The sequence below is a fragment of the Homo sapiens genome, chromosome 1 (assembly GCF_000001405.40).
Source record: "Homo sapiens chromosome 1, GRCh38.p14 Primary Assembly".
In the NCBI taxonomy this organism is placed as follows: Eukaryota; Metazoa; Chordata; class Mammalia; order Primates; family Hominidae; genus Homo; species Homo sapiens.
Genome location: NC_000001.11, coordinates 193,532,429 through 193,552,414, shown reverse-complemented (window position 1 = coordinate 193,552,414; position 19,986 = coordinate 193,532,429). Strand labels below are relative to the sequence as shown.

At 36.9% G+C, this 19,986-nt stretch overlaps 1 long non-coding RNA gene across 1 annotated transcript in view, besides 2 other annotated features; it reads right to left on the bottom strand.

The window, feature by feature from the left end:
* LOC124904475 (uncharacterized) overlaps positions 1–19,986 on the bottom strand; it is a 765,263-nt gene that overhangs the window by 667,133 nt on the left and 78,144 nt on the right. The gene's annotated exons all lie outside the window — the stretch shown is intronic.
* Positions 12,031–12,100: an enhancer, noted in NCBI's record as "active region_2272". NCBI's record gives its function as "activates an Ori minimal core promoter by ATAC-STARR-seq in GM12878 lymphoblastoid cells {active_cell/tissue: GM12878}" and the evidence as "EXISTENCE:reporter gene assay evidence [ECO:0000049][PMID:35858748]".
* Positions 12,351–12,560: an enhancer, noted in NCBI's record as "active region_2271". NCBI's record gives its function as "activates an Ori minimal core promoter by ATAC-STARR-seq in GM12878 lymphoblastoid cells {active_cell/tissue: GM12878}" and the evidence as "EXISTENCE:reporter gene assay evidence [ECO:0000049][PMID:35858748]".

The following is a 19,986-nucleotide window of genomic DNA, read 5'->3' as shown; positions in this document are numbered from 1 at the left end:
TATGACCTGCCAAGCCTACAATAGTATCTGGCCCTTTACACAAAAAGTTTCCTGACCTGTGCTCTTGATGATAGACATACAGTAGGATCAAAACAAGTCACACCTTCTGGGAACTTACACTAGTAGGGAGCAGACGGTAAACAGTACATACCTAAATATGCTACACTTTTTCAGGTACTGGGAGGTGCTTTGAAGAAAGAAGAATAAAGAGAGTGTTTTTATATTAACCTATGGGTATTTGCTATATTATACAAATACTAAGGTAACATACAAAAATCTCACTTTTAAAGTTTTAAAAATAAATTAATGCTATTTTGTTCTATTGAGGATTTATAATTTGCCTTTGTTAAATCAAACTTTGATGTAGTATATTAACTGAGAAAAAATCTTTGATGGTCCAAATTTCTACCTACCACTGAACTACTCTTTATTTCTTAGATAAAATTTCCCACCAATAGAAAAGTTAAGTTTCTCTTTTACATAAATGACTGACTCATGACAGGTAAAACCTTAAGGGAGGTAGTTCCAAAATAAACACACACACACACACACACACACACACACACACACACACACACATATATACACACACAGAGATATACAAATTGAGAATCCGTTATTCAAAATGCTTGGGACCAGAAGTGTTTCAGATTTGGGAATATTTGCCTATACATAATTAGGTACCTTGTGGATGTGACCCAAGTCCAAACACAAAGTTCATTTGACTCATATACACCTCATACACATGGCCTGAAGGTGATTTTATAGAATATTTATAATTTTGTGCATGAAACAAAGTTTTTACAGCATTTTGACTGCAACCCGTCACATGAGGTCAGCTGCGAAATTTTCTACTTGTGGCGTCATGTCAGTACTCCAAAAGTTTTGGATTTGGGAGGATTTCAGTTCGTCAGATTAGGGATACTAAACCTGTGTGTGTGTGTTGGTGGGGAGGGCAGGGACTAAATTTGTATCACTGAATTTTAGAAGGAAAAAGCCTTAGAGATCATTTTGTTTGACCTTTTTGTTCTAGGACAAGTTCATCAAATCCCAGGGAGCCTAAGCTATCCTGGTTCACCAAGCTAGAAAGTGGCAGAGGGAGGGAATGGTTCTAAGGTCTTTCAGACCTTCAACAAGGCTTCATACCAACACAGCCACACACTAGAGCCACATTCCCAGCCTCTGTCCCCAGTCTCACATTGACACGTTAGGAGACCTGAATTCTAGTCTCTATTTTGCCACAAACTAGTTACGTGAGCTTGTAATTATTTCAAATTATCTAAATATCATTTTAATTCATATAAGATATTCAAATATCATTTTCTCATTCATACTATATTTCTTATGTCTCTCCCAAACCTAGGTAGCCCTGTAGAGGATAGGTTTAAGGGTGAGGGCCCTGGGCCAGGTACGGTGGCTCATACCTACAAGTCCAGCACTTTGGGAGGCCAAGGCAGGTGAATCACTTGAGGTCAGGAGTTCAAGACCAGCCTGGCCAACATGGTGAAAAGTCGTCTTTACTAAAAATATAAAAATTAGCTGGGCATGGTGGCACATGCCTGTAATACCAGATACTCCAGAGGCTGAGGCACAAGAATTACGTGAACCTGGGAGGCAGAGGCTACAGTGAGCTGAGACTGCACCACTGCACTGTAGCCTGGGTGACAGAGTGTGACCATGTCTTAAAAAAAAAAAAAAGAAAGAAAGAAAAAAGAGTGAGGGCTCTGGAGCCCAATTGCTTGACTTCAAGTCCTGACAAGTTCCTTATTCTCATTATGTCCCAATCCCCTTCTTTAAAAGAATGCAGTAATTGTACCCACCTCATAAGATTCTTCAAAGGACTAAATTAGTTAATACATATAAAGTATTTAAAAAGAACCTGGCATGTATGAATGTTAAAAACAATGTCAGTTTCTATTCTAATTCTACTTTTAAAGTAGTATGAGACCGAAAACATCTAAATCATCTGAATCATAGAAAGGCTCATATATTCAACAAATTGCCACTATGCTACCAACTTCTCATTTTACCATACCTGTAGCTTTCTAATTTATGTCTAGACATGATGCAGAATCTCAATATATCCTTCCATTAGATTCCTCCAAGCAAACATTGAGCTTGCTAAAATCCTAATGAGTTCCAACAAATGAATTTCAAATTAACTCAAAGGAACTTTAGTAATTAATAAACTTTTTTGTTGAAAGGTCCTTTCTCTGAATATATACCTAAAAGAATATAAATCACTCTGTTATAAAAGACACATGCACATGTATATTCACTGAAGCATTCACAATAGCAAAGACATGAAACAACCTAAATGTCCATCAGTGATTGACTGGATAAAGAAAATGTGATACATATACACCATGGAATACTATGCAGCCATAAAAAAGAAAGAGATCATGTCCTCTATAGGGACATGGATGGAGCTGGACACCATTATCCTCAGCAAACTAACACAGGAACAGAAAACCAAATGCTACCTGTTCTCACTTATAAGTGGGAGCTAAATGATGAGAACATATGGACACACAGAGGGGAACAACACACTCTGGGGCCTCTCAAAGGGTGGAAGGTGGAGGATGGAGGAGGGAGAGGATCATGAAAAATAACTAATGGGTACTGGGTTTAATACCTGGGTGATGAAATAATCCGTACAGCAAACCCCTATGACACAAGTTTACCTATGTAACAAAACAGTACTTGTGTCCCTGAACCTAAAATTTTTAAATTAAAAAAAGCAACTTATAAATAAAGAAAAATCTAGTTTGTGCTCACTGCTCCCAAGTCAGCTAACTGACAATCATTTTCAGGCTAGGTGTGGTTAGGAATGGTAAAAGCCATTTTAACTATAAATATCAGTGCAGAATGTAGCTAAGTAATTGAATAAAATCCTTCACTCTCACAGTAAAATTCAATATAAAAATAAATTTCTAAAATCTATGATAATGAAAATGGTGATTATATTGCCAAATCAGAATCTTTGAAAAGATCAGGTCAAATGTGCAAAATCCAGAGACAATATAAGGAGTAGAGTAATTGCAGGTCTTGGACAACAGAACATAACATTTGAAGTTCTTTGTGCTTTTTTATGGCTATGCTGCCTTTCCTTATTGGTACTCATAAAATCAACAGACTTCAAACTCAGCAAGTGAAGGGCTCTATTTATCTGTTCACCTTTGGACCTACTACTCTTCAATAAACACTGGAGAACAGCTCATCTAAGCGAAAAGGCTTTAACACTACAAATTTTTGTGTGTGTGAAGGAAATTCAACATTACAATATTTTTTCCTGGGGATTCTGTCATTGCTGGTTGAACTCCTATATGTTTCTAGCTAATGGACAAAAAAAAAAGCAGCTATCACTCAAAGCTCATACCTACCACAAGTAGTCACATATTCCACTCCAGGCTCTCAAAACTGCTTGAAGCTTTAGATCCATGGCCTTTCACCATGCAATTTTGCAGGAAAACATTAGCAACATTTGTTATCAATAGCAATTCCAAACCCTCTGTGTCTGAAAAACTCTTTAATAATGCATTGCTTCCTAATGATTTCACCAACAAGACAGGCATTGATGAATTTCAATTCAGGTCTGAAACAGCACGGTCCACAGTCAGTATTGAACACTGCACTGGAGAATGGCTGTATTCATTAAGAGTCCAGGAAAGTCTCTCATTAGGTGAAGAGTAATGGCTTTGGCAGCAATTTTGAAGGCAGGTTGAAAATATCACTTACAAAAGCAAACTTTTCCACCCAAATAGTAACCAGTTTGCTGTATTATTGATTCCACTCAAAATTAGCTATCCAATGCAGTGGATCATCATCATAGAAATTGCCGATTGTTATTTTAAAAGTAAATATTAGGTATGTCATGTGATAACCACTTATGGAAAGCATGCTATTCCAGTGTTATAGTTTGATGATTGTGAAATGCATCAGGAGCAAATGATATTATAAAATAGATCAATACTTTCATTATTAAACATTTAAAATGAAAAGTCAAACTAATACCTTCACGCATATCAGTTTACAGTTGAAGACCCCCATTAGAAACAAGGCTGAAAGTTTTTCAAGGATCTTGGTATTTTGCAGAGCAATTTACTAGTTTCCTACTTTCACTTTCTTTATAAAGTCAGGTCTACATGGTCACTCAGATGGAAAAGTTCATAATCAGACTATTTAATCATTAAAATTGCTTTTTTAAAATAGTTCATGGCAGTAATGAAGAAAATTATTACAGGTATAAGTCATATTCTTGGCCTCTACATAATAGTCATACTGAGTCTGGTTGCTTTTCCGTAAGCGCTAATATGGTTTCTAGAGATAAATAAAAGAACTTCCTATGATTTTAAAATACTGTATTTCTATGTATCTATACTTTTGAATAAAAACAATTACACCACACAAAATCTATTATTGTATACTATTTATTTATATACCACTTAAGAAGGACTGTTGGACTAAACATGCATTTTATTCACATTATTCATTCTGCCAGGAACCTGGGACTTTAGCAATCATCTTTTTTTTCTTCCAACCCTCTCCTTGTCCTAGGGGATGGTGAAAGATAGAAGAGCACAATAGAGTATAACAGGAATACAAATGTATATTCTTTGCAGTCCAAAGGAAGTGTTGGCAATTGAATAGATTGTAAATAATTTATCCTGTTCCATATTCCATGGAGTTCAATTTGAACTTGCTAAGAGTAAACCTGAACAGCTGCCTTTTCTGAAACAATACTACATTTTGTAATTTAGCTTACAATATCTTCGGGCACAGATTAAATATGAAAGGGGGGGTATATATCATTCAAGTTTGTTTATAATCTTCCTTACTCCTTACGCTTTGCCTTATTGCAGATAAGGAATGCAAAGAGTGTCTTGTGGCACCTATGAAAGACCTTGAGGAAACCACAGTAATGTCAAGCTTCTGTATCCCAATAAAATGTTAAACGGAGTGAGAAGGGAAGTGAAGGAAAGAGAGGGAAGGCGACTAGGGGTGTGAGGAAAAGGAAATATAAAAGCCTGACTCCAAATAAGAAACACAAATGAGAAGGACTGAAACTTTAATCTGTTTTCATAATTAACACAGCTGTGCTATAATTTGATTTTTATTCTAAATGATGCCATTTAGCTATTCCTCGAATATTAAAAAATGAGCAAAGTATAAAATTATTGATCACTTAATCATTTTTATTTGGGGTTTCTTGATTCATTTTTAAAAATAGGTTTTGATTAATTAATACCAAGTTCTAAGAATGGAAGAGCAGTAAAGAAAGCTATGGGGGGAGGAAAATAAAATCATTTTACCCTCTAATCCAGTAGTGTTAACATATGTATATTCCCTGCAGTGTTTGTAGAAATGTCTGATGTGAGGGCTCTAACCCAGGTCAATTAAATCAGAAACTCTCTGAATGGGCCCAGGGAACAGTATCATTTTTAATTCTTCAGGTGACTAAATTATGTAGCAAGGACTGAGAAACACTGCTATCAACCAAGTGCATCCTACCAATTTCTTTCTTAGGAAGAATATGAAGTCAAAGACCATCCACAGAAACTCTTTCAAACACATCTACATGTGTTTCTGAAAAATGTTTGCTGGAAGAAGAAAGGTTCAATAGTGGAATAAACTTGAGTGTATTTGAACCTTGATCTCATGGATATTGATCTGTTTGCAGCAATTTTAGTAATTATTTGCTTCATGAAAATCTGAGAAATATTGATTGCAGAAGTTTTACTGCAAATTCAAAATTAAGTATTTTTAAGTATTTATATGAAATAACTGAAAACTGAACTTTGCATCTGGCACATGGGTCACCAATAATTATTTCTGGAAAAGCTGGAGAAGCAGATAGGAAAGCTAGGATTATGTAAAATACTTTAGTTCTACATAAAGTGCCCTCCAAAACAAAGCTTCCCCTACCTTTATAATTAAGATGTCATTGGAGATTTTTCTAATCTTCTCCTGATTCCTTCCCCTTTACCCCAAAAATGACTTTCAAATGATGTGTCAGAATTAAGACACAGATTCATAAAGGTGAACTCAATTATGGCTTTACAGGGCAGTGTCTCACTCATCTTTGTATCCTCAGTAACTCTCATGCCGCCTGATACAGGAAGCAGTAAGTGGGCAGCCCTGGAACTTCCTATGTTTTTAAGATACTGTATTTCTATGTATCTACATTTCTGAATAAAAACAATTGCACCATACAAAATCTATTATTGTATACTATTTATTTATATACCACTTAAGAAGGACTGTTGGACTAAACATGCATTTTATTCACATTATTCATTCTGCCAGGAACCTGGGAGTTTGGCAAGCATCTTTTCTGTGGATGGTCTTCCTTGACTTCATATTCTTCCTAAGAAAGAAATTGGTAGGATGCAATTAGTTGATAGCAGCGTTTCTCAGTCCTGGCTACATAATTTAGTCCACCTGAAGAATTAAAAATGATACTGCTCCCTGGGCCCATTCAGCCTGTCTGGTTCATTGTTGATCACCTGACTAACTATCTGCAGAACTTTGGGGAAGTCATGTAACATTTATTCCTGTTAATTCACCTAGAAAATGATGACAATAGCTCCTGCCTTATACAGTCGTTGTGAAAGTAAAATTAGTTTATAATACAGATGCAATGCTTACAACAGTTCCTGGGATGTGCTAACTGTTCAAGAAGCATTAACTCATTACCACTTGGTCATTATACAGGTATTGGATGGACGGACGGATGGATTGATGGATGGATGGATGGATGGATGAATGAATGAAAGAGTAAATGAAGTTTCTTAGTAAAAACTTTTTAGTCTTTTAAGGGTCTCCTATTTAAAAAATTATTCCTACAGGGTCATATTCACTTACCCCTGATAGGAACTAAAGACAAATTCACTTACCCCTGATAGGAACTAAGGACAACTTACAAATGGCAGAATAATCCTTGATGGTTGAGGCACAGCAAGAAACTAGGGATGCTGAAAAGGAAACTGCCAGAGATAAATTGCCCGTATTTCTCTGTTTTGCATGAGCCAGCCCTGCAGGTGCCTGGACTGAAGCCCAGACCTTCCCAAAGACTTGCTCAAGTAGCATAATTTTTAGTGCCTAAGAAATACAGAATCCAAAGGCCTTAAGAAAACTGAAAAATACCTTAACAGAATAATAGTCATGTTCTCAACTTTTACTCCTTCCACGCCTCTTAAACACCCAAATTGGGCTATATAATTTGTTGTAGACATGTACATAAAACACAGAAAAAAATACAAACACAATTCTTTCCTACCCTTTACTCATTGTTCAACATACAATTACAAAAGCCTATTCATTTCACTGCATTTGCATTTAACGATGTTCATGGCCAGGAGGACAGTGAGGAAAAAAACAATCATTTTCAAATTATTACTGGACACTCAGTATTTAAGTAATTCATGACAAATTTTTACAAAACTTATGATACTGCTATCAACGATCTTCATTACTAGTGTCCATCATGGGAACTGTTACATAAATATACATAAACATAGGAGAGGCTTCCACATGGCCATGTTTATTCTGCTGCATTTAAAGAATAACCAAGAGTATGTAGAAAATATATGACAACATTTATTATACAACTCAAAGTACCTGAAAGAGGACCTAATTTTAAACTCATGGCAACACTTCTGAGATTCTTTCCTGTCTGCTTTTCTCTTATTCTAAGACTATTCCATTTCTTCAGACCTCTTTCTCCTACTCTGGTCCTACAGAATTCTGGTGCCCCTTTCTCATATCACTGATATAAATGGATCCAGCCTCCCTGTTTCCTTCAGTTTTCCCTTTATTTTACATAGCATCATCCTAGTTCTTCAACCCGGCAACTGGCCAGCCAGCAGGAATTCTTTGCCCTAAATAACTGTGGATTTGGAAAGCTGGGAAATAGCTATCATTTTTAAGACAAGATTTAGATAAATGGCTGCCATCAGTACAATATTATATCTGCCACCCAAATATTGATAGTCCATTTTAAGATTTCACTTTAAATGTATCAATTGAATTGTTAAATAAGTTTGGAAGAGTATAAATCAAGTTTCACACTGATTATCACCAAATAGATACTTTTTTTTTCTTTTTGGGGCTTGATAATATTTTAGAAGTTCTTCGATAGTAACAAGAGATTTTCCCTTTAAAACTTTCAAAATGGCACTTTAAACAGTTTCAAGTTTCAAATTATTGGAAAGTTTATATACTTTCTTTCTTGTCTTCTTGGACCTCTTCTATATTTTGCCATATTTTTATTGAATAAACAGCCACCCTTCATTAAAACAATTAATTCATTCATGCTTTAACTTCTTAACTTTTCAAGTACTCTCACTTTTCTCTCAACATTTTTGATCTGAAAAGAATGCGGAAGTGTGAATCTCTTATTTCTTCTCTCCTCCTCCTCCAGAGTTTATTTTAGATGTTTTTCTTCATTGCATCTTCAAGAATAGATGGTCTATTTGTGCTCATTAGCAAACTTCTGATTGCTTAGCAATTCCCTTAGGCTGAGGAAAGATTAGCCTTTTTTTTTCCCCCTTCGGCAAACTTAAAGTTATGCATCTTGCCTATCTGCCGTCTTTATAGTATTCTGGGTAGAAGAAAGGAAAAAAGATGGCAGGAGAAAGGTGGATCCCAAAATAAAAGCAATTAACCACCGAGACAAGTTATTTTCCTTCAGATATCATCCTGGAACACAAAAGCTCCTGGTGGCATTCCTGGTATCAAAATTCTCAGCATGCCTCTGACCTTACAGAAGCCCAGTGGAGCCAAAGTTTACAAACCAATCCAAGAGAATCTTAAACACAAGGTGAAGAACGCAACACAATACAGTTTTTGAATCCCCAGATAATCTGGTTTCTATTTTCCTAAGTTAATGAGTTCCACGTGGGGCCCAATTTTCATCTTATCCAAAGCAGTTCTGCTGTTTCTTCAAGGCCACACTTCCAGGCAAGTGGACAGAGGGGCTGATTCATCTGCTCCACATGCCCGTATGCCTCATGCTAGTTTTATTATAGAAAGACAATACACCTACGTAAAGGGAAAACTATGAATTGATATAAGGTATTTTTTTCTAATACCATTCTCCTCATTTATTTTGTTCTCAGTGCTATACATTCATTTGGGACATTTTGGTTTAAAGAAAATTATTCTGAAAAAATATTTTATATGACTATCATAAAATATAGTAAAGCACTGAAAAAAGCTCTAGTTTCTCCTGCCTGGGTAAGAGCTGAGACACAGATATCAGCACATAAAACTAGGTAACATCTCTTCCCATAAGAAATTGAGTGTTTTGTTCTGTTTTTATATATGCTGCTTTACATAGAGTAGAAAGTGAGGTGCCATGAAAAGGCAAGATGTGTTGGAGCAAGATTGAGAGTTCTGCAAGAGATGAGCCAAAAAAGGAGAAGGGATCTGGGGAAATGAATGACTCTGACATCACAAACCAGAGTTAGCAACGTGGCCAGAGGCACACAGTGGCAGCTGGAACTGGAGCCTGTCCTTACCCAACTCTACTCACAGCTGGTGTGCACTCAGGTACATAAGAAAGATTTGAAACAGGAAGAGTTATCCTACCAAGTGCAAACACTTCAGGAATGCAAGCAACCCTGTGGAGGGACCCCATGACACAGAAGACATCAGTGTTTATCTCACTTCAAAAAAACTGCTGAGTATTCCTGGCACCAAAACAGTTGAGAGCAAAAGTGACTGGGGTAAAACACAGGGTTTTTTTGTTTTTGTTGGTTTTTTGTTGTTGTTTTGTAAAGAAAGAAGAGGTTACAGAGAAATATTAGATATGGATGGGGCCAGATAATACGTGATAAAATTGGCAGACTAATTCATGAGGTTCATGTAAGACTTCTTACATCTAAAGAAACATCCTAGAGACACCTAACTTATCTTTTACTACGTGAGTTGCCAGGCCACAAGAAGCCACATATGGACCTGAAGGAAAAAACTGCACATCACAGAGGGATTCTAAACTTAACACTGGATGTGTAATTGGGATGGATTTCAGGTTTTCTCTTTGGGGAAAGGGGTAAATGTGTTCTGTGTATACAAAGAAGGGCACATGATAGATACTTGGTGGCCAAAGAATAGGACTGTAGTAGGGACAGACTAGCTGTCTACCAAAGATTCAGGCTCCCCTTCCAAGGTCCAGAGCCATCGCTGTGAAGTGACTTCCACACCAAGGACTACATTTCCCAACTCTCCAATATTGGTCCTGTAAGTGAATAGGAGGCAATGTGTTCTAGGCAGGAGCTAGGTACAGCACTTCTACACCTGGTTCAAAAAAACTTCTAGTATAATTCTTCCCCATCTGCCATCTGGAAGTCATGTATGGAAGAAGTGATTTTATCAGCCCATGTCTGTGAATACTCCATGAAAGAAAATTGCCACCCTCTCTCCACCACCACCAAGAGAATTTTTGTAAGAAATAAATTTCACCTACATTAAGACACTGAGATTTCAGAGTTCATCCATCTATTAAGCAGCTAATATGAGCATAAAAACATTTCATAAAACTGAATTTTGGAATTACCCAGTAATCCAAAAAGTGAACAGAGGATACAGTTTATTCAATTTCAATAAATACGATAGCACATTAAATTATAAGTGATTATAGTTTTAATACACAGAAATATCGAATATAAAAGTCACATAGGAATTCTATGCCCAGCATTATAGCAAGATATTCTCTAACCTAATCATATCTTTTAAGATGCAGGATTTAAAAATATCTTTTAAAATTCATCTAACCTAGCAAGAAAGTGGGGAAACTCTGAAAGGCAAAAAGTGACAAGAAAAGAGCGAATCCAGAGAGAGACCAAGTATTGAAATCACCAGTGGATTTCCAAAAAGCATTTGCAGATCACTTGGTTTTTACTGATAAACATGAGATTGAGAAAACAAAGCTTAAGGATCCCAGAAGATGAGATGTCAAATTACAATCCTCCAAAAAGTTGGCACTCAAAAGAGATGACAAGTCAGACAAAGAGTGAACTACATAAATAAAAGCACCTATGAAGGAAGACAGTGAGGAAAACTGCCTGACTAGGCCTAGGCCATGGGTGGAGAGAAAAAAATGTCTTGCCTGAGAATTGCTAACAATAAAGCAAACTTCATAACAGATGCGAGATCAGACTTTACATTATTTTTACAGCCTGAAAAACCTCGAGTAGAAAATAATTTAAGGTAGTCCAAATTGTAGTGCTCTCAGATGCTAGACAGAGGCAAACAAATGCTCTCTGTAGAAATGACCTCAACCTCAGACCCCAAAGAATTCCCACAGATAAAAGTCTCAACAAGCATAAGCTCACAATTGAAACACAAATCACAACTGGAAACAAGCCTGTGTGACTGAGACTTAAACAAATCAGTTCCACAAAAACTGCAGGTGTTTAAATTATCAATGTAAAATATGAATAATTAATGTTAAAAAAGAACAGATATCATATCTTATTTCAGGCTACTATAATAAATTACCATAGACTTAGAGGCTTAAACAAATATTTTTCACAGTTCTAGAGTTCAAGAATAGGGTACCAACATGGTCAAGGTTTTGGTGAAAGCTGTCTTCCTGGTTACAAAATCTCATGGCCTTCCTTGGTGTATGCATGCAGAGAGATCTTCTGTCTCCTCCTCTTTTCCTAAGAGCCCTGTGAGAGCTCTACCCTCATGACCTCATCTAATCCTAATCACCTCCCACAGGCCCCACCTTCAAATACCATCACATTCTTGATTAGGGTTTCAACACATGAATTTGGGGGGACAGACACTCAGTCTACAGCAGTTAGTAAAAGAATATAATGGCAGAATAAGCAAGTACCAAAACTATGAACCAGCAGATATGCAAAACAGTTAAGTAGAAAGGAAGAGTATAATATTAAAGTGAGAAATTCAAAGGAAGAGTTAAATAAGTTATTTGATATGGCAGAAAAGAAAGTAAGTTCAAAGATAGAGAGCTAAAGATTGAATGCAGAATGAAACACAAAGAGACAGATGGAAAATATGACATCTGAGATGTTGTGAAACATGAAGTTCGGAGTGAGAAGGTATAATAAAGATCTACTAACGATGTGGTGGTGCCTCCTGTAGTCCCAGCTACTTGAGAAGCTGAGGCAGGAGAATTGCTTGAGCCTGGGAAGTCAAGGCTGCAGTGAGCTGTGACCATGCCACTGCACTCTAGCTTGGGTGACAGAGCGAAACCCTGTCTCACGCACAACAAAAAAACTACTAAGATTTTCAAAAGATCCTACAAAGAATGGAACAGAAGCTCTAACAGACGAAATATTGATGGGGAGCTGACAAAAGACACCCATCCAAAGACTTAGGTATCCCAGAACATCTTAAGCCAGGTTAATAGAAAGAAATCCACACCTAGACTCATAGTAAACCAAAAACAATTTTAAAAGATCTTTAAAGCAACTAGAAAAGTAGAACAATGAAACTGAAAGCTGACTCTTCAAAAACTGAAAGCTGGAAACAGCTGAACGAAGTCTTCAAGGTGCTAAACATATATACATAATTCTTAATCTCCGAAAGATTTTCAACAAGGATGCCAGGACCATTCAATGGAGAAAGGACAGTTTCTTCAACAAATGGTGTTGAGAAAACTGAATATCCACAGGCAAAAGAATGTAGTTGGACCCTTACCTTACATCACATTCAAAATTTAACTCAAAGTAGATCAAAGACCTAAAAGATCTGAACTGTAAAGCATACAAGGAAAAATAGGGGAAAATCTTCATGACATTGGATTTGGCAAGGATTTCTTGGATATAACAACAAAAGCATAGGCAACAAAAGTAAAAGCTTCTGTGCAAAGGGCACAATCCACAGAGTGAAAATGCAGCCTACAGAATGGGAGAAAATATTTGCAAATCATGTATCTGATAAGAGGTTAATATCCAGAATATAAAAAAAAATGCCTTTAACAAGAAAACAGCCCAAGCTTTTAAAACAGACAAATCCTTTGAATAAACATTTCTCCAAAGATGATATATAAATGACCACGTATATGCAAAGGGACCCAACATTACTAATCATTAGGAAAACGCAAATCAAAACCCCAATGGATATCACCTCACGCCCATTAGGAATTCTACTATCAGAAAAAAAAAAAAAAATGGAAGTTAAATGTTGGTAAGGACAGGAAAAAATTACCAAGGATGGGAAAAATAGTGTTGGTGGGAATGTAAAATTGTACCGCCACTATAAAAGATAACCCTCAAAAAAAATAAAATAAAATAGAATTGCCGTATGATCCAGGAATTCTACATCTGGGTCTCTATTCAAAAGAAAGCAAGATCTCAAAGACTTACTTGCCCACCTATGTTTGTAGCAGCACTATTCACAATAGCCAAGTGGTGGAAATAACGTAGGTGTTGACCAGCAGATAATGGATAAACATAATGTGGTATATACATACTGATATGGTTTGACTGTGTCCCCACTGAAATCTCTTCTTGAATTCCCCACGTGTTGTGGGAGGGACCCAGTGGGAGGTAACTGAATCATGGGAACAGATCTTTCCTATGCTGTTCTCATGATAATGAATAAGTCTTATGAGATCTGATGGTTTTATAAGGGGGAGTTTCCCCACACAAGCTCGCTCTCTCTCTGCCTGCTGCCATCCACGTAAAATGTAACTTGCTCCTCCTTGCCTTCCACCATGATTGTGAGGCCCCCCGAGCCACGAGGAACTGTAAGTCCATTAAAACTCATTCTCTTGTAAATTAGCCGATCTCAGGTATGTGCTTATCAGCAGTGTGAAAACAGACTAATACACATACAATGGAATATTATTTAGACTTAAGAAGGAAAGAAATTCTGACCACATCCTACAATACAGATAAATCTTGGACACACTATGCTAAGTGAAATAATCCAGTCACAAAAGACAAGTGTAAGAGTCTTCCCTTATCGTCAGGGGATACATTCCAAGATCCCTGTGGATGCCTGAAACCAAGGGTATTAATGATGCCTATATATATGATGTTTCTTCCTGTACATACATACCTACAATAAAGTTTAATTTATAAATTAGGCACAGTAAGAGATTAATAACTAATAATAAAATAGTACAATTATAACAATATGCCAGCATCACTGCTCTTGTACTTTGGGGCCATTATTAAGTAAAATAAGGGTTACTTGAAAACAAACGCTGCAATACCTGGACAGGTGATCTGATCACTGAGATGGCTACTAGGTGCCTACCAGTCAGGTAGCATATGCGGAAGGGCTATGCTGGACAAAGGAATGATTCACATCCTGGGCTGAATGGGACAAGATTTCATCACACTACAAAGAATGTCACCCAATTTAAAACTTACAAATTGTTTATTTCTGGAAATTTTTATTTAATATTTTCAAACCACAGTTGACAGCAGGTAACAAACTGCAAAAAGTGGAACCACAAGTAAGGGGAGTCTACTGTACTGTATTATTCCTCTTACATGAGGTATCTAGAGTAGTCAGATTCATGGAACCTATTCACAGAAACAGAAAGTAGAACGGTGGTTGTCAGAGCCTTGGGGGAGGGGGAAAGGGGGAGTTGTTTAATGAATCAAAAGTTTCACTTCTGCAAGATGAAAACATTCTGGAGATCAGTCACACAACAATTTGAATATACTTAAAACTGCTAAAAACGACTGGGAGGTAAAAATGATAACAATTGAACTTAGAAAAAGTTAAGACGACAAACTTCATTTTTTCCATTTTTTTCTACAACAAACATTTTTAATACAATTAAATACAGTCAATCACGTGTTGCTGAGGTGATTTTGTCATTGTGCAAACAACATAGAGTGTACTTCCACAAACCTAGATGGTATAGCCTACTACACACCTAGGCTATATGGTTTAGCCTATTGCTCCTAGGCTACAAACATATACAGCACGTTACTGTATTGAATACTGTAGGCAATTGTAACACGATAAGTATTTGTGTGTCTAAATATATCTAAAGATAGAAAAGATAACACACTGTGCTATGTTAAGACAGCTGCCACATGCCACTATGCCACAGGAGTTTCTCAGCTCCCTTATAATCTTACCCCCTGTTGTATCTGCAGTCTGTCGTTGTCCAAAACATTATGTGGTGCATGACTGTGTATAATTCATTATCTATAATCAATTGCCAAACTATCAGTCAAGAATGAAGGGAAAAAACTCAAGACAATAATTACTCAATACTTCTTACCAATTATTCTGCTCAGTTATTATACTTTTGACATAAAATTTATATAAAAGATGAATATATATTTTAAGAATAAGATCAGTGAATGCCACCATTTAAAGAAACAGAATATTATCAATATCCCTAAGGCCCCCGGTTTCCCTACCTGATTGCTTATACCTCCTTTGTCCCTCTCTTCAGAGTTAGCCACTATCCTTACTTTTACCTTAATTATTCCCTTATTGTTCTTTATGGTTTAAACTCACATGAATTTCCTATCCACATGTTGCTCAGTTTCAGCTGCTTTTTAAATTTTAAAGGAAATTCTGTGTATATATTTTTAAGGCACCTTTTGTTTCTTACTAATATATGTAGCTGTAGTCCATTTTCACATTATATGTTATTCCATTATATGCATGCAATACAATTTATCCACTGCAAATGTAGATGTGCATTTGGCTTGTTCCTGTTTTTTGCTTTTAAGGATGTTGCTTTGAACATTGATGTGTCTGCTGACATACATGTGAGTTTCACCAAGCTATAGAGCTGTGCCTTAGAGTGTTCACTCATTTCACTTTTTAAGTAAAACGCAAAACTATTTCCAAAATGGTTTTACAATTGACACTTGAAGCCGAAGTATAAAAGTTCTCATTTTTTAAAAGTAACATTTCTGTTTAAATTATATTACCTAAAAATTGGTCACATTTTTCCTGCAATGTGGAAGGTCTATGTTGTACAACCACAAATGATTCATTTGATGTATTTCTTTACTGTTTGTCATTGAATTTTCATTTATAAATAGCCCTGTCTCTCCTACATGTTCAAATTTTTCCAATTCCAGGCAAATTCCACTTATAATGTAAGAAACAGGAATATATTCTCCTGTGACATTATTTAACACAAGAATTTGGGCCGGATGCAGTGGCTCATGCCTGTAATCTCAGCACTGTGGGAGGCCGAGGCAGGTGGTTCACTTGAGATCAGGAGTTCCAGACTAGCCTGGCCAACATGGTGGAACCCTGTCGCTACTAAAAATACAGAAATTAGCCAGGCATGGTGGCACAAGCCTGTAGTCCCAGTTACTTCGGAGGCTGAGGTAGAGGTTATAGTGAGCCAAGAGCACGCCACTGCGCTCCAGACTGGGCAACAGGAGTGAAACCCTGTCTAAAAAAACAACATGAATTTGGTTCCAACAGTTTTGTGTCTCCACTCCCATGTTTACTGCAGCACTATTCAACTATTCACAACAGCTAAGATTTAGAAGCAAGCTAAGTGTCCATCAACAGATGAATGGATAAAGAAAATGTGGCTGGGTGTGGTGGTTCACACCTGTAATCCCAGCACTTTAAGGGGGTCAAGGTGGGAGGATTGCTTGAGCCAAGAAGTTGGAGACGAAGCTTGGCAACATAGTGAGACCTCATCTCTACAAAGTAAAAAAAAAATAGCTAGGCATGGTGGTGCACGCCTGTAATCCCAGCTACTCAAGGGGCTGAGATGGGAGGATAGCTTGAGCCTGGGAGGTCGAGGCTACAGTGCACCGTGATTGCTGCCATTGCACTTTAGCCAGGGTGATAGAGAGAGACTCTATCTGGAAAAAAGAAAGAAAAAGAGAAAGAAAGAAAATGTGGTACATATATACATTAGAGTACTATTCAGCCATAAGAAAAGAATGAGATCCTATAATTTGCAACTGCATGGATGGAACTGGAGGACATTATGTTAAGTTAAATAAGCCAGGAACAGAAAGACAAATTTCCCATGTTCTCACTCATCTGTGGAAGCTAAAAATTGAAATAATTCAACTCATGAACATAGAGAATAGAATGATGGTTACTAGAGGCTAGGAAGGATAGTAGTGATAGAGGAAGAATGGGGATGGCTAATAGGTACAAAAATATAGTTATTAATGGATAGAATGAGTGAGACTTGGTATTTGATAGCACAGCAGGGTGAGTACAGTCAACAATAACTTACATTTTTAAATAACTAAAAGAGTATAATTGGATACTTTGTAACACAAAGAAAGGATAAATGCTTGGGGTGATGGATGTCCCATTTACCCTATTATACAGTATATACCTGTATCAAAATATCTCATGTACCTCACAAATATATACACCTACTATGTACCCACAAACATTTAAAAAATTAAAATTAAAAAATAAGATACAGAAGAATCGGAAGACAATGTTGTCTTTAAAAACAGAGTTTTATGATCAGGGCTTAGAAGTGGGTTTTGCAAAGATTGATCATTATCCTCTGAGAAAAAGAAAAATATATACAGTAGCACCATACTATTTTATCAGAGTTAAATAATTGTACTGTTTAGGTCTCAGTCTTTGCCTTACACAGCTTGACACAGAAAACACCAGGCATTTGTATTCTAGTCCTATCCCTAAGTACCTATGGGACTTTAATCGAGAGATGTCACCTCATTTATTGGTGAAATGAAAGATTAATAATCTCAAAGCTTTGTTTCATCTGGAAAATTCTATTTACTCTCTGCTATTATGTCACTAGCTGGCAATTAGCAGGCTCTTATCCTGCAAAGGTCTTTTTTATGGCTTTTATTGTGTTGTTCTCTAATTGAATATGGCTGGGTGTGCAATCACCAGTTTTCTCTAAGACCCGCCACTCCTAACAGTTACATCCTGACCCAAATGTTCAAGCTGCCTCCCTGGACTTGAAACACTTGAGTTTTCAAACACTGCTCTATAGTAAATACTTTTACCCATTGAGAAACACTAATATTTATCACAACAACTAGTTCTTTAGAGTGCACCTTAGAGTTGATTGTTTTCATGGGCTTTACTTCATGTATTTTCATGTGTATTCTATGTCACAGTCGTCCTGATGATCCTTTTGACTATGGAATATGTAGAGCATCTTTCCATTGCCCAAATATTAGCAAAAACAAGTCAAAATGTCTTCTTTAATAACCCACAAACACAATGTCATACATGCAAATGCTGTGGTGCCTCACTTCATGGAGAAAGCCCAGAATTCAAGTTGCCAACTTCCCACTGGTGATTGGCACAGTAAGCCAGGCTATAGGGAAATGAAGTGGGATCAGATGCTCTTCAGCAAGTGTCTAGCTCTGCCCAGAACCACTCTGAAAGCCTCCTCCAGACAATGCGGAGGAGCCAAGCCGAACATATGCTCGCAGAGGGGGAGTCAGGAAACAACTAGGACATCAACATCCACATCTTGGCATGAGCTACTAACCCTTAAACACTTCCAGCTTCTCTCTATAGGGAAGAGGAAAGAAAGCGCCACATTTCAGCAAATTTAATGACATGTCCCAAAACGTACTTCCCCAAATTCAAAACCCCTGAGAGGAGTCCATACACGATATTTGCAACTTGGCACTGTCTCAAAACATTGCCTATCTTGTGTTAATGTGTTTATTTGCTTTTAAAAGATTGTCTTGTTCACCCACGAGCAGTCAAAAGAACACACAGTATTGTCAGCCAGATTGGCTGTAACCATTATTATAACCTTTACTATATCTGCTGACATTCTGTTTTTGTTCCCAGTCCAGATGTCATGTATAATGGAGTATATTCTCTCATTATGTGCGTTAGTGCTTAGGAATGCCAACATAATTCAACGAACTGCTTGATATCTCAGAAAAGTACGTTTTTGTAAATTATTCAAATTTTCCATAAACCAGCTACAAAACAGGGCATTCACTACCTAATTTCTCCTGGAGCTTGCCCTAGATACAATGTTAAATTAAGCTGAAAAATTACATGGTTTTCTATCAACTGAATCAGCTGAAACATACCATAAGGTAGTAGTATGAGGCTATTTTACTATTATTCTGAATAAGAATACAATTTGGTGGGAGAAATCCTAATCCTGAACCTCCAATTTAATATGAGGGAAGGCTACTTAAAACTAGCTTCAAAGCATACCACAGAGCCTTGGAGACAGGGGGAAAAAAAAAAGCACCAATTGTATAACCCCATTAAGGAACCCCTACTTGTATTTTTCTAGGCATGTTGGGGGCACGTCACAGAAGGAACTAACAATTTTTCACTTTCCTTAACTTTTATTTCAGGTTCAGAGGGACATATGCAGGTTATATAGGTAACTACATGTCTTGGGCTTTTGGTGTACAGATTATTTCATCGCCCAGGTAGTAAGCATAGTACCTGATAGTTTTTTGATCCTCTCCCTTCTCTCACCCTCCACTCTATAGTAGGCCCTGGTCTCATTTGTTCTCCTCTTTGTGTTCATGTGTTCCCTTTGTTTAGCTTCCACTTATGAGAACATGTGGTATTTGGTTTTCTGCTCCCGAGTTTACTTAGGATAATGGCCTCCAGTTCCACCCATGTTGCTACAAAGAACATGATCTCATTTATTTTTATGGCTGCATAGTGTTCCATGGAGTGTATGTACCACATTTTCTTTATCCAGTCTATCATTCATAGGCATTTAGGTTTATTCTATGCCTTTGCTATTGTGAATAGTGCTGTAATGAACGTATATGTGTGTATGTATCTTTATGGTAGAATGATTTATATTCCTTTGGGTATATACTGAGTAATGGGATTGGTGGGTCAAATGGTAATTATGTTTTAAATTATTTGAGGACTGGATACAGTGCTTTCCACAATGGCTGAACTAATTTACATTCCCATCAGCAGTATATAAGCATCCCCCTTTCTCTGGAACCTCACCAGCATCTGTTATTTTTTGACTTTTTTAGTATAAATAGCCATTCTGACTGGTGTGAGATGATATCTCATTGTGGTTTTAATTTACATTTCTCTAATAATTAG